This window comes from Homo sapiens, chromosome 1 (genome assembly GCF_000001405.40).
Source record: "Homo sapiens chromosome 1, GRCh38.p14 Primary Assembly".
NCBI classification, from domain to species: domain Eukaryota; kingdom Metazoa; phylum Chordata; class Mammalia; order Primates; family Hominidae; genus Homo; species Homo sapiens.
Genome location: NC_000001.11, coordinates 178,073,837 through 178,095,542, shown reverse-complemented (window position 1 = coordinate 178,095,542; position 21,706 = coordinate 178,073,837). Strand labels below are relative to the sequence as shown.

General features: G+C 42.6%; 1 protein-coding gene and 2 long non-coding RNA genes across 6 annotated transcripts in view, besides 6 other annotated features; 1 reads left to right on the top strand and 2 right to left on the bottom strand.

Moving 5' to 3' along the window:
* RASAL2 (RAS protein activator like 2) overlaps positions 1-1,439 on the bottom strand; it is a 384,747-nt gene extending 383,308 nt beyond the window's left edge. For all 4 annotated transcript variants that reach the window (NM_001437625.1, NM_001437626.1, NM_001437627.1 and 1 more), the window contains exon 1: positions 849-1,439. In NM_001437625.1, the coding sequence (NP_001424554.1) occupies positions 849-1,050 (202 nt within the window). In that variant the 5' untranslated portion in view covers positions 1,051-1,439. The remainder of the gene's footprint in view (positions 1-848) is intronic.
* Positions 1,001-1,060: a silencer, noted in NCBI's record as "silent region_1576". NCBI's record gives its function as "represses an Ori minimal core promoter by ATAC-STARR-seq in GM12878 lymphoblastoid cells {active_cell/tissue: GM12878}" and the evidence as "EXISTENCE:reporter gene assay evidence [ECO:0000049][PMID:35858748]".
* Positions 1,211-1,370: a silencer, noted in NCBI's record as "silent region_1575". NCBI's record gives its function as "represses an Ori minimal core promoter by ATAC-STARR-seq in GM12878 lymphoblastoid cells {active_cell/tissue: GM12878}" and the evidence as "EXISTENCE:reporter gene assay evidence [ECO:0000049][PMID:35858748]".
* Positions 1,441-1,740: a silencer, noted in NCBI's record as "silent region_1574". NCBI's record gives its function as "represses an Ori minimal core promoter by ATAC-STARR-seq in GM12878 lymphoblastoid cells {active_cell/tissue: GM12878}" and the evidence as "EXISTENCE:reporter gene assay evidence [ECO:0000049][PMID:35858748]".
* Positions 1,441-1,963: a biological region, named in NCBI's record as "H3K27ac hESC enhancer GRCh37_chr1:178062715-178063216".
* Positions 1,462-1,963: an enhancer, noted in NCBI's record as "H3K27ac hESC enhancer chr1:178062715-178063216 (GRCh37/hg19 assembly coordinates)". NCBI's record gives its function as "activates a minimal SCP1, AML or CMV promoter by ChIP-STARR-seq in primed H9 embryonic stem cells {active_cell/tissue: H9 hESC(primed)}" and the evidence as "EXISTENCE:reporter gene assay evidence [ECO:0000049][PMID:30033119]".
* On the top strand, positions 1,550-4,035 carry RASAL2-AS1 (RASAL2 antisense RNA 1). Its single transcript, NR_027982.1, has 2 exons — positions 1,550-1,982; positions 2,131-4,035. It is a non-coding gene; the product is annotated as an RASAL2 antisense RNA 1 (long non-coding RNA).
* Positions 1,791-1,840: a silencer, noted in NCBI's record as "silent region_1573". NCBI's record gives its function as "represses an Ori minimal core promoter by ATAC-STARR-seq in GM12878 lymphoblastoid cells {active_cell/tissue: GM12878}" and the evidence as "EXISTENCE:reporter gene assay evidence [ECO:0000049][PMID:35858748]".
* On the bottom strand, positions 19,361-19,973 carry LOC124904459 (uncharacterized). Its single transcript, XR_007066744.1, has 2 exons — positions 19,811-19,973; positions 19,361-19,491 (listed from the first exon to the last, which is right to left on the bottom strand). It is a non-coding gene; the product is annotated as an uncharacterized LOC124904459 (long non-coding RNA).
* Between the last annotated feature and the right edge of the window lie 1,733 nt (positions 19,974-21,706).

Sequence of the window (21,706 nt, the reverse complement as noted above, 5' to 3'; positions counted from 1 at the left end):
CCACGTTACTAATGTCTTCTGCAGTCACGTGAGCTAGGCGATAAACATCTTGCCGTTTCAATATTTTGGAAAGCCACAGCTCAGTCCTGAATGCCAGGCTATAAATCCTTAAGCTATGAGTTTTCAAAACCAGCATGGTTTTAGTGCTGCCACAAGGCTCACCCTAATAGAATCTCATCATTCAGTTTTAATTAAAGAGGTGGTTACCAGGAATGCAGAAAGGGAAAGTTTTAGTGTGTTCATCACTTTTAACCTGCTGAGTGGCAACCCAGTCACTTTACAACGAGATTCAGAAACAATAGTGTAATCTGAAACAATCCACACCCGTTGGAATAAGTGGTTGCTTTTAGAGAGAGTGAGGTTCAGGCAGAGGTTATAGATTAGTCTTGCTCCCACCAAATACATAGTTTGCATTTTTTTCATTCATTAGCTTATCCTCTGCTTTTTCATAATATCTTGGTTTCCAGTCTTGCCTCATTCAACAATAAAAAGAGACGAAAATCCATTCACTTGGTTTCATGGAGTTTTTCCATCATACCTTCTTGAAGATTGATTGCCTGGCTGTTCCCTTGAAGTAATCGCCTAAGAATTACGTCTTGGATAGCCCAACTCCCGCATTAAACTTACTGCAGGTGTCTGAAGAGGTCCAAAGACCATACTGAGTGACATCCCTGCCCAAGTGATAGTCTGAAGAAACTTGTCAGAAATGCACCCCCAGAACAAAAAGGGATGTGGGAAACTGACCTAGCACGGATGAGGACTGGGAATGAGCCTGTGACTTAGGGAATGAATTTCAGCCCAAGCAAAAATAGGAAACACCAGCCTCTAAGACGGCCTGTGGTCCTTACCGTACACCCGGACCCAGCTCTGTTGCTGGCACACGGACTCCAGAAGGATCCGATCCAACATGCCACCGGCGACGGCTCCACTGACTGGGACAACCGCGTCCAGGTCCTCCGGGGGCAGCGGCGAGTCGGACTCCAGCGCCGGGAACATCTCCGGCCAGGACAGCGCCTCCGCGGCTCCTCCGGACGACGGAGAGAGCTCCATGGTGCCCCGAGGCGGGAGGGGGACGAGGCGGCGGCTTCGGGGCGGGCTGGCGCGCGGCTCCGCGCCCTGCCTGCGGTAAGGGGAGGAGGAGAGCGCGCAGCGAGGGCAGGGACCCGAGCGGCAGCCGGCGCGGACACCTCTCACCTCCTTCCCCGTCGCCCACTGCCCGAGGCTCGGGCGATGCAGCCCACCTGCAGTCGGCGGGCGGGACCCAGGCCGGGAGGAGGATCCAGCGTGGCCCCGACCAAGGGTGGGTCCGGGCTCAGGTGTGTGTGGGTCCCTCCCGGGAGAGGACGCAGAAGAACCCGGGAGGGGAGGCTCGCCCTCCCACCTCCTCGGAGCCGCCTTCTTCAGCCCCGCCGGCGTCTCTCGCGGTCAGACCAGGCTCTGGCTGGGGATGGAGCGGGGCCGGGCAGGGCTGGGCTTGGGGGCGTCGCCGCCAGGGGCCGCCCCCTCTGACCGGCTCCCGCCGCCGCCGCCTCAGAAGCTCCGAGTGCCCGTTCCCTCAGCCTGAGGAGGGGTAGGGGGCGGTGGCCCCGGGTTCTAGCCCGCCTGTCCTCGGCCCCCACTTCTGGAATGAGCCTGCCCGCCCCCTGACTCTCAGGCCACAGCTCCGGCCACAGCTCTGGCTCCTGCTCCGCGGCGGATCCCACAAACCCGGCAGCCACGGCGGTGGCGGTGGCGGTGGCGGTGGCGGTGGCGGCGGCGGCGGCGGCGGCAGCGGCAGGCGGCATCCCAGGGTGATAGGCTGAAGCAATCGAGGGCCGAGAGCCCGGCCGCGTGTGCACTCGAGTAACGAAGCCGGGGAGGGACTGCGCCGCAGGCAGGAAAAGTCGGACACCGAATTATTCATCCGGCCTGTCCCGCCTACTTTCCAAGTACCCTCCCAGGGATAGCCGGGTATTGAGCGGTCCGGGTCTCTGCTGCTCAAAGTAAAGACCGTTTGAGAAGGCGGGGAGGTAAAAGGGTGCGGGAAATTTAAACAGAAAAGAAAGGAGCTTCCCTTCCTTCTCACACCTTTCCTATTTATTTGTTTCTTTCTTTCTTTATGGGCCAACGTTTCTTTCTTATTGGACAAAGAGATCGAAGAAGCTGCTTTATCTTACAGTCACCCAAGGGGGAGCGCCTTCTTCCTTCCCAGAGTGGAGTGGCAGTGGGTCCGGGATTCTGGGATATGCACAGGGTCTGCGCCCTGCGCCCTGTCCGCGCTGAAGCTGAACTTGTCATTGGTTTGCAACAGCATGGTGAAGAAGTGTGGTGTGGATGGACGGACGGGCCTCTCAGGCACATGAAATACTCAAAGCCCAGTATTAACCAAACATGTTTCTCTGTTTTGTCTTTGATCTTTGTGCAGTGTGTTGGCTTTTTTCCTTTAATGATGTCACTTGTATTTTATTTTTGGTTTATTTGTAGACTGTCTCCCTCCTTGGCCATGGCTTTACTTTTATGTCCACCCAAGGAGAGTTTCACCAGTTTAGGTTTAAGAAATTACTGACAAGTTAACAATAATAATTTCAAAATTGAACAGTAATAACTTAAACCGTGCCTTGGACATAGTAGATCTCCAACAGTTTTTCTTGAATGTGGCTACCTAATGTGGAACAAGATTTTTCATAATTACATGTTGCTATTTTTAATACCTTTTGGGAGGTTCTTTAGTCCCCCCCGCCCTTTCTCCCTACGTTGCACAAAGAGACTGGTCTACAAGGGGTCCTGTTAGTTTTCTGGTTTTGTGGGGTCCTGGAATATTGTTTGGGCTTATTGAGAGTTAACAAGGATGTATTTTGTGAGTTTCTCCAAAGTCTTATTTAGAGTAATAGTATTTCAAAGCAAGAAGTGTTTTAGAGAGAACATCATTCTGCCTCTTGTTTAACAGGTGAGGAAACTGAGGAAAAACCAGCTTACCTGGCTAATCAACCACAAGTACAGATAGTTCCACAATGACTCAATGGATATTACTTCAACTTTGTTCCCTCAAGAAACTTTTGTGATTAAGCTTGTTGATTTGTGGCTTGATGGTTTACAGGAATGGTCATTTTTAATATCTAGGACCCTGCTTGCTTGCTTGCTTGCTTGCTTACTAGACTGGCTGCATAGTCAGTCTTCCACGTGTAAACAACAGTGTGTGCTTTAGTGGATAAGAGATGTTGAGTGCTGAGATTTCAAGGCTCAGCACTGAGTAGACCTAGAGCATTTTTATTTATACTAAATTAATGCCATGGTAACATAAGTTAGACAGCAAGTGAATATGGCATCAAATGTACAAAGTTGAGTATCTCTTTACTAGTCAATGTATAAGGAATTTATTTACCCAAGCAATTATCTTAAAAACAGCATTACAAGTGGTATGCGAAACATTTCCAGAATTTATTTCCACATCTGCTCTTTCAGTGGCATCATCCATTCCTGAGCTCAAGAAAAGGCCTCTGCCAACCGCCAGTAATCCTGCTTTTTTAGTAATCCTACTATTTTTTTTTTAACTTTAAGTTCTGGGATACATGTGCAGAACATGCAGGTTTGTTACATAGGTATACATGTGCCTATGTATACCTATGTAACATGGTGGTTACAGTAAACATGGTGGTTTACTGCATCTATCAACCCGTCATCTAGGTTTTAAGCCCTGCATTCATTAGATATTTGTCCTAATGCTCTCCCTCCCCTTTCCCCCACGCCCCGACAGGCCCCAGTATGTGATATTACCCTCCCTGTGTCCATGTGTTCTCATCGTTCAACTCCCACTTATAAGTGAGAATATGCAGAGTTTGGTTTTCTGTTGTGTTACTTTGCTTAGAATGATGGCTCCCAGCTTCATCCATGTCCCTGCAAATGACATGAACTCATTCTTTTTTATGGCTGCATAGTATTCCATGGTGTATATGTGCCACATTGTCTTTATCCAGTCTATCATCGATGGCATTTGGGTTGGTTCCAAGTCTTTGCTATTGTAAATAGCACTGCAATAAACATACATGTGCATGTGTCTTTATAGTAGAATGATTTATAATCCTTTGGGTATATACCCAGTAATGGGATTGCTGGGTCAAATGGTATTTTGGTTCTAGATCCTTGAGGAATCGCCACAGTGTCTTCCACAATGGTTGAACTAATTTACACTCCCACCAACAGTGTAAAAGCATTCCTATTTCTCCATAGCCTTGGCAGAATCTGTTGTTTCCTGACTTTTTAATAATCACCATTCTCACTGGCGTGAGGTGGTATCTCACTGTGGTTTTGATTTGCATTTCTCTAATGACCAATGATGATGAACTTTTTTTCATATGTTTATTGGCTGCATAAATGTCTTCTTTTGAGAAGTGTCTGTTCATATCCTTTGCCCACTTTTTGATGGGGTTGTTTGTTTTTTTCTTGTAAATTTGTCTAAGTTCCTTGTAGATTCTGGACATTAGACCTTTGTCGGATGGGTAGATTGCAAAACTTTCTCCCATTCTGTAGGTTGCCTGTTCACTCTGATGATAGTTTCTTTTGCTGTGCAGAAGCTCTTTAGTTGGATTAGATCCCATTTGTCAATTTTGGCTTTTGTTGCAATTGCTTTTGGTGTTTTAGTCATGAAGTCTTTGCCCATGCCTATGTCCTGAATGGTATTGCCTAGATTTTCTTCTAGGGTTTTTATGGTTTGGGGTTTTACATTTAAGTCTTTAATCCATTTTCAATAATCCTACTTTTTAAATCCAAACGTTCCAGATACTGGTCCCTGCTTCACCTCCCTATCCTGACCCCAGACTAGCAGCAGGTCATTATCTAATTGCCTAAGTAATAGTATGTCTGAAATTTATCTAGTGTTCATAACTTAAAAATAAAATACTTTCACAGGCCAGGCATGGTGGCTTACACCTATAATCATAGTGCTTTTAGAGGCTGAGGCAGGAGGACCACTTGAGCCCCAGGAGTTTGTGACCAGCCTGGACAACATAGTGAGACCCTCATCTCTACAAAAAAATAGAAAAAAATTAACTGGGCCTGGTTGCAAACACCTGTAGTCCCAGCTACTCAGGAGGCTGAGGCAGGAGAATCACTTGAGTCCAGGAGTTTGAGACTGCAGTGAACCATAATTGCACCACTACATTCCAGCCTGGGCAACAGCATGAGACCCTGTCTCAAAAAAAAGAAAAGAAAGAAAGAAAATACTTTCACAACCTGAACAATAATTCTGTGAGATAAGTAGAACCAGTATTTTAAAATCATCATTTAGAGAATTTAAAAAAAAAATTAAGCATAGAATTGTATTAAGCAACCTACCTAAACATGGCTACTTAGGAGATTGAGATTAAAACTCAAGTCCCCTAATTTTTAATTTCATTAATAGATCTGGATTCCTGAAGAGTGTTTTTCTTTGGTGTTCTGACATTTGTAGAACCAAAAATAATATTTCATGGTTTTTGCAAATTATTATCATTTAAGAAAAATATCCCAAAAAATATTGAAGAAAAAACAAAACAAAAAAGTTGGAAACCAATTTGCATTGCTGGGAGGCAGTTAATCCTACTTGAACTTACACCAGTGGTATCTCCCCAGAGCCAACCCAGATTTTAATGTGAAGATAAATCCTTGGCTGATGAAGTCTTAGTTAACACTGTAGTTTGCAAACAGTCCTTTATGTGTGAACTACAAGAAAGCTCTCACACCCCTGCCTGCCTTCTCCCCTCCTCTTTCCTCCAGGTTTCAAGCTCCCAAAGGTGATCTACATATTTACTATCATTGGAATTCATAACATCAAGAATCAGACCCAAGTCCCCGGAGAAGTGGGAACTAAAAATTGGGTAACTATCGAGGAGAAGAAATAATAGTTTTCCTATGTCTAAAAACAAATGCTGGCACAAATCTGAGGTTTCTAAAAGACAGAAAGAGGCCTTTGGTTCTGAATACACATTGCCAGTAATAAAGAGAAGTATACATTACCAATAGTCAATAATAAGGGGAGATGAGGGTTTGGAATCTTGGCTGTCACAAAACTGAGGTCCGGGTATGGGTCCAGTTTTCTTCTTCATTCACACACACACACACACACACACACACACACACACACACACACGAGGTTCCCTCTTCACAAATGCTGTTAACTATTTTCTTTCCTTTTAAGGCAGGGCCTTGCTCTGTCGCCCAGGCTGGAGTGCAGTGGCATGATCTTGGCTCACTGCAACCTCCACCTCCCAGGCTCAAGCAATTCTCCCACCTCAACCTCCCAAGTAGCTGGGACTACAGGTGTGCGCCACCATGCCTGGCTAATTTTGCATTTTTTGTAGAGACAGGGTTGCCCCATGTTGCCCAGGCTGGCCTCAAGCTCCTGGGCTCAAGTGATCCACCTGCATCGACTTCCCAAAATGCTGGGATTACAGGAGTGAGCCACCGAGCCTGGCCAGCTATTTTCTTATAGCCAGTCCCTTCTAGACTATGTATGCCCCACCTCTAAGCAGCTAATCCCCAAAACAGTAATGCAATTTTTAAACTGGTTCGCCAGCTCCTCCCTTTCAATATCCTCTCTCCCTTTAGACACGTTTATGCAGCACTCTCCTGATTATAACACTGACTATGCCCAGTCTATCATAAGGAAGAATTCAGACATTTCCCAAGATTCTGCCATCTGTCTTCCTCTCACCTCACTCCCTAAATCCCTGGTGATCTACCCACTTCTGTGATTTCAGCTGTCACTTGGATAATGTTGACTTTGAGAAACTCATCTCCAGCCTTATCCACAGTACTAGGGTCCTATCAGGAGTTTTTAAATGTTGAACACCTCCAACAAAATATGCTTCCTGGACTTCCAACTCAATGCATGGAAAGTGACATCTTCATGATCTCCTTACCCCTTGCCCAACCACCCTTGCCTTCTTGAATTGCCTTTTTATGTTAGTAAAACTAGTGGGTTCTGTCTCAAACTTGCTTATACATGGAGTTACTTTTGAGTCCTCTCCTCCATCCTAGCTTGCATAAATCCAACTCATGCTTTGAATTCGTATTGACACTGTCCTAGCTCAGACCTAGTTAGCTTTCACGAGGATTATTGCATTAGCTTGTTAGCCGTCCTCCTTCCCCTGCCACCTTTCCACCTCCAATACTTTCTACTTTCTGTTGTAGGTGAATTATTCTACAGCACAGTTCAGACCAAATCACATCCAAGCTCAAAAAAACAGCTCCTTGTTGCCTACTAAGTAAAATATATGCTTTACAGAGCTTAAAAGGGCCTTCCAAATGTAATCCCAAACCACTGTTGCTGCCTCGCTCATTGCATGTGCTCTGCCAACCCAATAGACTCTCTGTTCTACAAATACATCCAGCACTTTCCTTGCCCCTTGCCTCGGCTTAATTGTTTCTTCCACCTGGAATGGGACTTTTCAAGGGTCCCCATCAAATACCACTGTCCTCCTCCATCAAGTCATTCCCTATTCTCCAAGCTGGCAATTAGCCTCCTCTGAGTTCCTATAGCATTTGTTTCTGTCTGTCTTCTGGAACCAATCATAGTACATATTATGGAATTATCCTTTGTATAACTCTTTTTTTTTTGAGACGGAGTCTGGCTCTGTCTCCCAGGCTGGAGTGCAGTGGCACGATCTTGGCTCACTGGAAGCTCCGCCTCCCGGGTCCACGCCATTCTCCTGCCTTAGCCTCCTGAGTAGCTGGGACTACAGGCGCCCGCCGCCACACCCGGCTAATTTTTTTTTTTTTTTTTTTGTATTTTTAGTAGAGACAGGGTTTCATTGTGTTAGCCAGGATGGTCTCGATCTCCTGACCTCGTGATCCACCCTCCTCGGCCTCCCAAAGTGCTGGGATTACGGGCGTGAGCCACTGCGCCTAGCCTGTATAACTCTTAATATCTGCTATCAGGTTATAAGCACCTTGAGACAGAAAACTTGTTTCTCCCCGGCAATGTCTTTCATAAATTAACCCCTCAATGAAACCAGAAGCCAAGAAACAAGAAATTATACTAAGGGTTTCTTCATAGATGTTTGGGGCTGCAAAAGATACTAAAATATCCGTTTAATAAGTCCAATCATGCAACTCTCATTTTCTCTCCTGCCCCTGCCCATTTTAAAAATAAACATTCCTAGGCCCAGGAAAATGACATGACTGTGCTCACAAAACTAATGACAGAGGAAAGATTAGAATTCAGATCTCCTGAATCTCAATTCATTAGCCCTATCAAAAGATTCATTCCTTTCCATCCTTTTCTGTCCTTTAAATGGATATTTTTCTTGTTAATAAAGGTTTTCTCAGCAAAGTAATTTTATTCTTTTACATATTATTTAAGCTTAAAGCATTCGTGCCATATTCCTGGCCCCACATATAATTTTAGCAAAATTATACTTATTTTTTTTTAACCAAAGGACCAAACAGAGACATCAGAGAAACATCTGGTCTGATTCATCAGGGTAGCAGCAACATTGCTATTTATACACGAGCACAGCCCTATCTTTGTAGCTCTCAGCTGTTCCTCATTGCTCAGTATGTTCCCCTTTTCAACCTTGTCTGTCCCTCGTCACGATAGCATCCTGCATCCTGAGTCTTAAGCAGAATCTAATGCAATCATAGAAAATATATTTCCTACTCCCTAGAAGGGGTCTGTCTTTAAAAGGAAATATTTCTCTACTCTCTCAATCTCTTCATTGAGGAGTATAGGACAGCAAGCCTCAAGTGGTTGGGTGGCTGCCATTCATTCCACAGCATTCTCGGTAGAAAGAAGTTGGATAGAAACCAAAGCTGTGGCATAAGTCAAGTTTGGAAGCAGGTCAGGTAGAAAGGAAGTGAGCATTCTAAATGGGGAAACTGAGGTTAATGAGGAGAATTTAAGGAGCACTGATTCTCCTCATAGCAGTTAGAAACTTCATGATCTTAGGGAGTCATCAGGACCAAAGAAAGGCTTAGCAATCTTCTTGGGTTTTGTGAGTACCCTTTTATATCTGGCCCGTGTCCTCTAAGAGAAGGCCACTGTTTGTACTAACCAATGACAATATTGTTTGGAAAAGCAGTGGAACAGCCCAGAGACAAACAGACGTCTACCAGTCACTTCTGGGAAAAACTCCTCCAAAATCATGACCTCACTTCAGCATTCAACTACAGGAATGCGAAAAAAGTAAAAATACTCAGATGTAATCACAATGGCCCCTGACATCAGGGCCTAATTAAAACCTTAGAGGTCCTAAGCACTGAAAATAATAAGGTGCCTCACCCCACCTAAAAATTATTTTTGCAAAGTGTTATGAAGAGCAACAAAGTTCTGTTTTATTTTTTCAGTGATAACCACTACAGAATGTGTTTCAGAAATGGCAGATATCAAACTCTTAAAAGTTTTGTATGTGTCTTTGTGTATTCCTACTTTGCCAGTGCCCTAAACACCATATCTGTTGAGTAACCCAGCTCTTCTTGGAATATGCCGAGCCAACCATCTATTAACAGACACTATCTATGAAGAGAGTAATCTTTAGCAAATTAATTTCTGTGTTTTTCTATTAACTATAGAGACACCAAGTTAGGTAACCCTAGCCAAAGAAAATGATCACTTCCTTAGCTTTGTTGTTCTAATGAGTCCTCAAAAATGTGATTAAAAAATCAGAACCAAATGATTCTGAAGAAGAGATTTAAAAAAATTATTCCACTGTCCTCCTATTACTCTGAAAGAAATATTATCTTTTTTTTTTTTTTGAGACAGAGTCTTGCTCTGTCGCCCAGGCTGGAGTGCAGTGGCATGATCTCAGCTCACTAAAACCTCCACCTCCTGGGTTCACGCCATTCTCCAGCCTCAGCCTCCTGAGTAGCTGGGACTACAGTCACCCGCCACCACGCCTGACTAATTTTTTTTTTTTTTTTTGTATTTTTAGTAGAGACGGGGTTTCACCGTGTTAGCCAGGATGGTCTCGATTTCCTGACCTCGTGATCCGCCCTCCTCGGCCTCCCAAAGTGCTGGGATTACAGGCGTGAGCCACCGTGCCTGGCCAAGAAATATTATCTTAATTGGTCAATATGTGGAGGCTACACAACCATTTTCATTTTTCTCTGATATCTTAAAGATGTCAAGACATTGGTTATAATAGCTAAAGCCTATTTAAGACTTGTGAATAAAGAAAAAAATATCCAAAATATATCCTTTGTAAGCTGTTATCTAAATATGGATGAAGAATCTCTTCCCAGTGTTGATTATGGTTAATCGTTAGTATTGAGAAATAAGAAACCTGGAAGGGTTTTTTTTTTTTTGGTCATTTTTCCATTAGTTTATAACAGGAAATTATTAGCAGGATAACCAGGGAGGAGCTGGAAGGTTAGAAGCAAGTAGTCAGAAAGTGGGATATCAGAATCTAAGATTGCTAAGGTGTAATGTCTGAGTGATGACAAGATACAAAATGTGGTCCTAAGTGGTGGATGACTAAAGTAGATTGAAGGAGAAGGTCAGAAGGGTTAAGAAGGTACAAAAATTAAAAAGCTAAGTTAGTGGAACAGTTGTTAACAGCAACTCCTAGGATGGTACTAGGAGGTAGGATAAAGATAAAAACTATTGGGGAGTTAAGTCCCCAAATTTTTGGAGAATGAAGGGAACCAAGTGGCAAAAAGGAAGATAGGGTAGAGGGAACCCTTAAGAAAAGAGTAAGCATTTACATGAGAGTTCAAGAGTGGTGGTCTGGAAGTAGCAAAGGACAGTCAGCCAAATGCTAACCCCTGCATCCCAACTCCCTCTACAGCACAACAGAACAAAGTATGTGGGAGAATGAACAGCCTCAACTAGAGGATGTTGCAAGGCAAATCCTAGCCTTGAAGTGGGTCTTCACGGATCACGAGGTCAGGAGATAGAGACTATCCTGGCTAACACGGTGAAACCCCGTCTCTACTAAAAATACAAAAAATTAGCCGGGCGTGGTGGCGGGCGCCTGTAGTCCCAGCTACTCAGGAGGCTGAGGCAGGAGAATGGCGTGAACCCGGGAGGCGGAGCTTGCAGTGAGCCGAGATTCCGCCACTGCACTCCAGCCTGGGTGACAGAGCGAGACTCCGTCTCAAAAAAAAAAAAAAAAAGAATGTAGAATGTCTTATTTATAATGGGATAATGGTTCCAGATGGCTCAGTGCAAAGGATGATTAAGGGGTTTGTAGTGATAGCCACAAGAGGTGAGAAAGAGGGGTTTCATAGTGATAGGCAGATGTGAGAAAGTACTGAACCATTCATTAAGGGGGTGAAGGCAATAGAGAGCACAGGTGACTAGAAATATTGCCCATTCAATCAATGACTGGGGATTAGAGGAATGAGGGAGAGATGGGCTTCAAATATTATACTTTGGCTCACTGTGAAGCCTGTCACAAAGTTTTTGGAAAGGCCACAAGGACCTTGTTCTAATCCAAGCTGTCTCCCTGTGTCTGGAGCTGAAGCAATGAGCCTAGTGAGGACAGAGCTCTCTCAAGGTTTGTGGCTCAATAGAGGGGTTGTTTTTCCATTTCATGAGAACTCTACTCTGTAGATACCTTCATTTTATTCCAGTTGATCAGCCTTTCCTAGACTCTGTTAGTTCCGTGCTCTGCCTGGGACTAATGATTGATCATCTAAAACACACTACTCCTGGGCCAGGAGTGGTGGCTCATGCCTGTAATCCCAGTACTTTGGGAGATTGAGGCCGGTGGATCATTTGAGTTCAGGAGTTTGAGACCAGCCTGGCCAACATGGCGAAACCCCATCTCTACTAAAAATACAAAAATTAGCCAGGCGTGGTGGCACATGCCTGTAATCCCAGCTATTTGGGAGGCTGAGGCATGAGAATCGCTTGAGCCTGGGAGGTGGAGGTTGCAGTGAGCTAAGATTGTACCATTAATTCCAGCCTGGGTGACAGAGCAAGACCTTGTCTCAAAATAGAATAAAATTGAATTAAATTAAAAAAATAAAATACACTAGTCCCTTCTGTTCCCTTGCACCTTGCCCACTGCATCAACTCTGTATCAGTCTCACAGTCTATTTTTCCTTCTCCTCCTTTGTTTTAGTCTGTTCTCACACTGTTATAAAGATACTACCTGAGACTGGGTAATTTATAAAGAAAAGAAGTTTAATTGACTTACAGTTCCACATAGCTAGGGAGGCCTCAGAAAACGTACAATCATGGCGAAAGGTGAAGAGGAAGCGAGGCACATCTTACATGATGGTAGAAGAAGGAGAGAGAGAGTGCAGAGGAAACTACCACTTTTAAACCATCAGATCCTGTGAGAACTCCCTCACTATCACAAGAACAGCATGAGGGAAACTGCCACAGTGATTCAGTCAACTCCTACTATGTCCCTCCCTCAACAAGTGGGGATTACAATTTGAGATGAGATTTGGGTGGGGACACAGAGCCAAACCATATCATCCTTCTCAAACAGTTGAGGCCTGGAGAAAATCCCATAACCTGGAGTCATCTGCTGCTACAGATTCAAGCTCAACTGGGCCCTCAAAGATTTCACCAACCCCTTAACTTGTCTTTGATCAGTTCCCTCTCCCATTCTGCTCAGTGAATAGACCTAATCTTTGTCTTCCCTCCTCAAGACCTGGTCAACTCCCAACTCTCATTCTCAACAAATGTTTCCACCTCCTGTTTCAAAGAGAAAAATTGAGGCACTAAGTAAGATCTCCTTCAACATCCATATCCCTCCAGTCTTTTCTTTCAGGCTCAGGGGATGAGAGCTCCCTCCTCTTTTTCAAAGGTCAGATGCTCCCACCTCTTTTAGGGCTTAAGCAATTATTTTCTCTTTTTTCCTTCAACCACACCCTCAACACTGACTCCTTTCAATTCATATGTTCATCTCTCCCATCTAATCAAAAAGTTGGCCGGGCACGGTGGCTCATACCTGTAATCCCAGCATTTTGGGAGGCCGAAGTGAGTGGATCAGTTGAGGTCAGGAGTTCGAGACCAGCCTGGCCAACATAGTGAAACCCTGTCTCTACTAAACATACAAAAATGGCTGCGCATGATGATGGGCATCTGTAATGCCAGCTACTCAGGGAGGCTGAGGCAGGAGAATCGCTTGAACCTGGAAGGTAATGGTTGCAGTAAGCCGAGATCATGCCACTGCATTCCAGTAACATGCCACTGCACTCTGGGTAACAGAGCAAGACTCTCAGAAAAAAACAAAAAACGCTACTGACTGACGAAGTGCACTGATGTCTACAAATTTCTTTGAAATGCATCTAAAAAAATAGGCTGGATTGATGGATGGATAGATGTAGAATAAACCAAATAAAGCAAAATGCTCTTTGTGGAATCTAGGTTGTGGGTAAATGAGTGTTCACTGTACAGTTCTTTCAACTTTTCTGTGTTTTTTAAAATTGTCATAGCTGGGCACGCTGCCTCACGCCTGTAATCCCAGCTACTTGGGAGGCTGAGGCAGTAGGATAGCTTAAGCCCAGGAGTTCGAGGCTGCAGTGAGCTATGACTGTGCCATTACACTCCAGTGTAGGCAATAGAGCAAAATCCTCTTTTAAAAAATTATAATAAAAGTGTTGGGGTACACAACATTTTTATGGGGGTGTGGCTTCCAACCCAGCGTCTTCCTCAAGCCACTATCCAATCTTTCTTCCTTTCTCTACCTGAACTTTTCTAAAGGGTAGATGATACTCACTATCTTCACTACTTCCTTACCTCCCAGCCACTGTTTTTCTTCAGATCTTTAAAAAAAGAGATAAAATGGTTTTGTGTCTTTATAAAATGTATATATATATATATATATATATATATATATATATATATATATATCCTAGACTTTACCTTTTACATTCAGTATTGTTTCATGATTTATCTACGTTGATACTTGTGATTCTATTCCATTCATTTTAACTGCTGTATAGTTGCATGTCATATAAATAGTCCATCCATTAGTTTACATATTCCACAGAAATGGTTGTTTCCACCTTTTTTATTGCAAACAATAAAGCAGTGATCATCCTTAAGGCACTTCTCCTTATGTATATATGCATTTCTCTAGATATATGTTCAGAAATTGAATTGCCATGTGTAGGGAATACACATATTCAACTCTACAAATAGTTGGAAAATTGCTTTTCATAGTGGTTGTACCAATTTACTTTCCCATCAGAAGATATAGAAATTCCTTTCTTCACGCTGTTGCCAAGATTTAGCATTATCAGATTTTTAGATTTTGCTATTATCACATATATGAAAAGCAACCCAATGTTAATTCTGAATTTTCCTCTTTAGGAGAGAGGTTAAACATCTTTTGATATGCTGTTGACAATTTGGGTTTTACTTCTCTGAATTGCCTATTCACGTTCTTTTTATTTATTTTTAATTTTTTTTTTTTTTGAGACTGAGTCTTGCTCTGTTGCCTAGGCTGGAGTACAGTGGCTCAATCATGGCTCACTACAACCTTAAACTCCTGAGCTCAAGTGATCCTCCCACCTCAACCTCCCAAGTAACTGGGACTACAGGTGTGCACCACCACGCCTGGCTATTTTAAATTTTTTGTACAGATGGAGTCTTACTATGTTGACTTGGCTGGTCTCAGACTTCTGGCCTCAAGTAATCCTCCTGCCTTGGCCTCTCAAAGTGCTGGGATTACAGGCATGAGCCACTGTGCCTGGCCAATTCACATTCTTTGATAATTTTTTTTTCCATTGCATTTTTGTCTTTTCCTTATTGATTTATAAAAGTTTTCCCTGTATATATGCTGTACTCTAATCTTTTGTCAGTTTTTTTAATTGTAAACATTTTCTCCTGGTCTTTTAACATAGTTCATGGTATTTTTTCTCACATAGGAATTTATTTTAGGCTGGGTGCAGTGGTTCCTGCCTGTAATCCCAGCACTGTGGAAGGCCAGCGCAGGTGGGTGGATCGCTTGAGCCCAGGAGTTCAAGACCAGCCTGGGCAACATAGCAAAACCCTATTAAAAATACAAAAAAATTAGCCTGGTGTGGTGGCATGTGCCTGTAGTCCCAGCCACTAGGGAAGCTGAGGTGGGAGGATGGCTTCAGCCTGGGAAGTGAAGGTTATAGTGAGCTGAGATTGCACCACTGCACTCCAGCCTAGGCAACAGAGTGAAGAGTGAGACCCTGTCTCACAAGAAGGAAGGAAGGAAGGGAGGAAGGGAAGAAAGGAGGGAGGGAGGGAGGGAGGGAGAGAGGGAAGGAAATTTTAATTTATCATGTTTATGTTCATTTATGATGTAAGTTTTTCATGCCTTAAAATGGCCTTCCCTACTCCAAAGTTATAAATGTATTCTCCTCTACTATATTCCAAAAGCTTTATTATTCTGCCTTTCACATTGAAAAGTTTAATCCACCTGATATGTATTTATGTATATAGTGAGAAAGATCTAGTTTTTCTCTATATGGATAACTAATTGACCTAGCACCACTTATTGAATAGTACAGCTATTTCCTGCTGCTTTATATGTTCTATCACATACCAAGCTCTCCTATGTGTTGCTCTCTGTTCTGTTGAACTTTATATTTACTTATGCTCTACTACCATACCATCTTAATTCCTTTCCATTCTTATTTTCCTTTTTCAAATTTGTTTTGCTTGTTCTTGGCGCTGAACTCTTCGATGGGCATTTTATAATCAAATGTCAAATTCCACAAAGCACTCATTGAGATTCTGATTGTAAAATGTTAAATGTATACATTAATTAGGGAGAATTGCCTGGTTATAATATTGAGTTTCCCTTCAAGAACATGATATATTTCTTCCATTTTGTATTCATTGATAAAGTCTCATTTTTTTTTCCATATAAGTCTTAGACATATTTTGTTAAATCTATTTCTGGGTACATTATGGCTTTTGTTGGGACTGCAATTTAGATATTCTTATTATATTTTCTAATTGGTTATTGCTGTCATAGAAAAACACTATTTTTGTTTTATTTTATTTTATTTTATTTTGAGACGGAGTCTTTCTGTGATGCCCAGGCTGGAGTGCAATGGCATGATCTTGGCTCACTGCAGCCTCCGCCTCCTGGGTTCAAGTGATTCTCCTGCCCCAGCCTCCTGAGTAGCTGGGACTACATGTGTGCACCACCACGCCCAGCTGATTTTTGTATTTTTAGTAGAGATGGGTTTTCACCATATTGGCCGGGCTGGTCTCAAACTCCTGACCTCAAGTGATCCGCCCACCTTGGCCTTCCAAAGTGCTGGGATTACAAGCGTGAGCCACTGTGCCAGGCTGAAAAACACTATTGATTCTTGAACATTGGCTTTGTGTCCATCAACCTTGAAAAACTCTCTTAGAAGTATTGATAGGCTGGGCACAGTGGCACACACCTGTAATCTTAGTATTTTGGGAGGCCGAGGTGGACGGATCACAAGGTCAAGAAATAGAGACCATCCTGGCCAACATGGTGAAAACCCGTCTCTACTAAAAATACAAAAATCAGCTGGGCATGGTGGTGCACACATGTAGTCCCAGCTACTCAGGAGGCTGAGGCAGGAGAATCGCTTGAACCTGGGAGGCGGAGGTTGCAGTGAGCCAAGATTGCACCACTGCACTCCAGCCTGGCATCAGAGCGAGACTCTTTCTCAAAAAAAAAAAAAAAAAAACCCCAAAAGTATTGATAAAATGTCAAAAGATTGTCTTGAATATCCTCTGTAGACAATTATATTATTTTCATATAATTATTATTTCCTTTCTTTCCAATTCCTATGCTTTTATTTCTTATCTTATTGCATTGTTTAGGACCCCCAGAAACAATGTGGAATGGATACAATACCATGTCTTGTTCTTGACTTTGAAGAAAATGTTTCCATTTTTTTCACCATTAAGTACAATATTTGCTGTAGGTTTTTGATATTTAGGATGATCTGATCTATTTCTGGTTTTCTAAGAAGAATATTTTAAAATAAATGAGGGCCTGGCATGGTGGCTCACGCCTGTAATCCTAGCACTTTGGGAGGCCGAGGCGGGTGGATCATGAGGTCAGGGGATCAAGACCAGCCTGGCCAACATGGTGAAACCCCGTCTCTACTAAAAATACAAAAATTAGCTGGGCGTGGTGCTGCATATCTGTAATCCCAGCTACTCAGGAGGCTGAGGCAGGAGAATCGCTTGAAGCCGGGAGGCAGAGGTTGAAGTGAGCCAAGATCATGCTACTGCACTCCAGTCTGGCAACAGAGTGAGACTCCATCTCAACAAAGAAAAAAAAAGAATGTTTTCCTATAGTTATTGAGGTGATCATTTAAGTTCCTCCATTAATTGGATATGATAGTGAATTACACTAATAGATTTCAAAAAATAAAGTATCATTCACTTCTGAGATTAACCCCCCTTGATTATACTGCATTTTCAATGAATTGCAAATATTTTGTTTAGTTTTTGTATATCTATATTTATATGTGAGACAAGCTAGTAACTTTCTATTTTGGTCCTGCCCTTGCTTGGTTTGAATATCCTCTTTTGATATTCAAGGGAGTTGCCTCCCTACTCATTCTTAGCTCCTTACAACTCTATGACAACAGCTCTTGAAATGACATCTAAGTAAATAAATTGACATCTAAGTGAATAAATTTATTTTCCTCTAAGCCCTATATTACAACCCCTGTTATAATCATTTGACACAATGATCACTTCCTTCTGAAAATGCATTCTTTATTTTAATATACCACTCTCCTCCTTTTCTTATACATCTCTGATCATTCCTTCTCTACCTTCCTTGTGGGCTCATCTTCTCCCTGGACTCTCCCTTGTCTATCAGTCTACACATGTTCCTTAAGTGATCCAAGGCATCTTCAATGTTTCAACTACCACCTGTACAGAAATGAATTCCAGTGCTGTACTTTCAGACCTCTCCCCTCATTTCTAGCATTTTCTGGCTCATGCTGGCTGTCCCAAAGGCACCCAGAACTTCACGTTTAGAATGAAATTTATCATCTTCTCCATTAAAAAAGTTTTACCTCCTGTTGACACAATCTTAGCTCATGACCCCGTTATCCATACTTGTCATCTGAGAGAGTCCTTTGGTAGTGTCTCTCCTTCATCTCCAAAATCTAATCGGTTACCATGCCCTGAGGGTTTAACTTCCTAAACATTGCTTGACCTGTTCCCACTTCTCCATCTTCACCATCCACACCTCAGATAGGCCACTCTTCATCTTTCACCTGGTCTAGAACAACAATTTGCTAACAAATTTCCTTTGTTTTGTCTACCTTAAATACAGGTATAACCACAGGTACAACTACAACCCCTTTTTAACTGTTCTCTCTATAACACTGAAGTAATTTATTTAAAACTCTACTCTTGCCCTGCCACTTTTCTGCCTCAAAACCCATTAGACTTTCCACATCACAGACAAGATGGTCTACACTTTTTAGAGATAACACTCAGAGTCACCACCGTCTACCTTTTACCCTTTTCTCTAGTGCATTATAACTGTTTCCAGCAAATCAAATCTTGTAGTTTCCTATGTAGTCTTTGCACTTTTCCCCTTCTATGTCTTTGCCTGTGCTGTTCCTTTTGGAACCACATCTCTGCTTCTATTTCCCTCTCCTACACCTAACCCCAATCCAGTTTCCTTCCCATCAGGAATTTGTCTTGAGTAATTCTTCATATCCTTAAAAATCCAACTCAGCTGTCAACTTATTAAAAAGGCCACCCCTGGGTAGGCACAGTGGCTCACATCTGTAATCCCAGTGCTTTGGGAGGAATGAGGCAGGAGGATTGCTTGAGCCCAAGAGTTCAGGGTTACAGTGAGCTATGATTGCACCACTTTATTTCAGCCTGGACTTCAGCCTGGGCAACAGAGCGAGACCCCGTCTCAAGGAAAAAAAAAAAAAGCCACTCCTAACTCTGATCTCTTCCAAAGGGTTCACTAAGTGCCTCTTTCTTCAGTGATCTCATAAAAGCCATGATTGTTTTTATATTTTGCACTTCCTACATTGTATCATAAGTATTTGCTTTTGTATCCCCACTGAACTGTGAACTCATGGAGAGGGACAACTGGGTTTTTTCATATTCAAAGTTCCAGAACCTAGCAGAGTATTTGGCACAGAGTATTTGTTGAATTCAATGAATAAGTGATTTAGCTGAATTGGATATGCTCTTTCCAGCTAACTTTAGGCTTTTCTATTATTATTTAAATTTTAGTTTTCACTAGCCTGCTCATACTACATAGATTTGATAAATTTAATTTTTATTGTTCTGGCTAACCAACTCTAAAAATAATAAAAAACAGTGATCTATCACTGTGGCCAACATGGTTTACATTGGAGTATGGAACCACAGGGGAAAACAGAAACAAATAAAGCAGGATGGAATGATCAAAGGAGAGGATCAAAATCGAAACACACACCACCTATTGTTTTAGTCATTTGGGGCTGGTATGACAAAGCACCACAGACTGGATGGCTTATATACAAATGAAATTTATTTCTCGCAGTTTGGAAGGCTAGAAATCCTAGATCAGCATGCTGGCAGGGTTGCATTCTGGTGAGGGTCCTCTTCTGGATTGCAGACTGCTGTCTTCTCATTGAATCCTCACATGACAGAAAGAGGGCAAGGGAGCTCTCTGGGGTTCTTTTTATAGGGGCGCTAATTCCACTCATTAGGGCACCACCCTCATGACCTAATTAGCTCCCAAAAACACTACCATCTAATACCATCACATTGGGGGATGACATACGAATTTGTCAGGGGGAGGACACAGACATTGTCTGTTGCACCTATCATCTCTAATGAGAGTTTTCACTAATACTATGGTGAGGGGTGATTAATATTTATCAGCAGAATCCTATTGTCAGTGGCTCTTAGATTATTTGTGAAGTCAAATACCACCTTGCAGTTTAATAAACTCACCTGGAAACCTCATCCCATGTGTTATGGGAAGTTGGTGCTCTCCCAAACTCCCTGAGATACTTCTGGGCTTCCCATTCTCTTGGTACCTCTGGGTTTGATTTCTGGCTTCTGCTGAATTACCATTCTTCACTCTGCAGTATCTTGCAGCTGTTCCTTTATCTTCTTTTGGCACTGACCCAGGGATGTGTTACAGCTCCTCCTCTTTGATTTCCCATCCCAAATTCATGAGAGGCAGCTGTGTGTGGTAGCCTGTTCCTGGCAATTCAAAGATAATGTTTGCCATATAGGGAGGCTACATGGCAAATATGCAAAACTCTTTAGCAGCCAATTTAAAACTGAAAACTTGATTTCCTTGTTCTATTTCCACCAACCCAAATGTAAGCTTCCTGACATTTTGCTCAGCCTCCTCTCCCACTGTGCCTCCTCCCTTACCACTTCTCTCTTCTTCCCATACCTCCCAATAATTGCTTATGCAGAATTATTTTGTGATTTTTTTTCTACTCTTGGCTCTGCAGAATATGATTTTGTGATCTTTTAATTGTTTTTTTCCCCAACCCGTACAGAGCCTCACCTACCACCCCTTAGGCATCTCTCAAGATATTATTATAAATAAAGACAATTACTTACCTAAAAAGAACTCATGTACCAGTTTGCAAAAGAATAATTTCTATTTTCAACTACATTTCTATTTAGAGTGTGTATATATTTATGCTTCAGCTAACTATGTAATAAATTCAACATTGATCATTTTAATCCATGTGATTATTTCTTCTCATCTAAATATTTTGTTTTGTCATAAGATCTTAACACTTTCAGTCCAGGCACAGTGGCATATACTTGTAATCTTAGCACTTTGGGAAGCCAAGGTGGGAGAATTGCTTAAACCCAAGAGTTTGAGACTAGCCTGTGCAACATATTGAGACTCCTGTCTCTACAAAAATAAAAATAAAAATCAGCTGGGCTTGGTGGCACATGCCTACAGTCCTAGCCACTTGGGAGGCTGAGGCAGGAGGATCACTTGAGCCCAGGAGGTTGAGGCTGCAGTGAGCTATGATGGCACCGCTGTACTCCAGCCTGGGTGACAGAGCAAGACTCCACCTCTAAACAAAATAAATCAAAACAAAACACTTTTAGTTATATCTAACAATTGGTGCCTGAACCTGGTGATACTAAGCAACATGGATTGTTACCCCAGTGTTCAGGTTGGGACAATCAAACAAAATAGTAGTTTTTAAGAATTACGTCTGAACTAGGCCTCAAAATATTCTCAACTCATTCCCTTTAAATAATACATGTATTTTATACATGTATATGTGGCCAATCTGAATGGAATACTTCTGAACAACAGCAAATATTGATGGTGCCTAAATTTTTAGAATCCCAGAAATATCCTCTTTTGCAAATACCTGAATTCATTCCTGCCGGCAAATATTTGTTAAGAGGCTACTGTGGGTCAGGCACTGCAGTAAACCCTGAGGACTAATGGAGAAGAAAAGAGTTGAACTCTGCTTTTGTGGCGCTTATATTCTAGAGGGAAATATGGTCAATAGGAAGGAAATAGAAAGTTACATATAGTGGTAAGTTCTATGAAGAAAGTCAACATGGTGAGTTAATAAAGAACAGGTCGGGGGCGGTGGCTCACGCCTGTAATCCCAGCACTTTGGGAGGCTGAGGCAGGCCTCTACTAAAAATACAAAAAATAAAATTAGCCGGGCATAGTGGCACGCGCCTGTAGTCCCAGCTGCTCGGGAGGCCGAGGCAGAAGAATCACTTTAACCTGGGAGGCGGAGGTTGCAGTGAGCTGAGATCGCGCCACTGCACTCTAGCCTGGGTGACAGAGTGAGACTCTGTCTCAAAAACAAACAAACAACAACAACAACAAAAAACAAGTAGTGG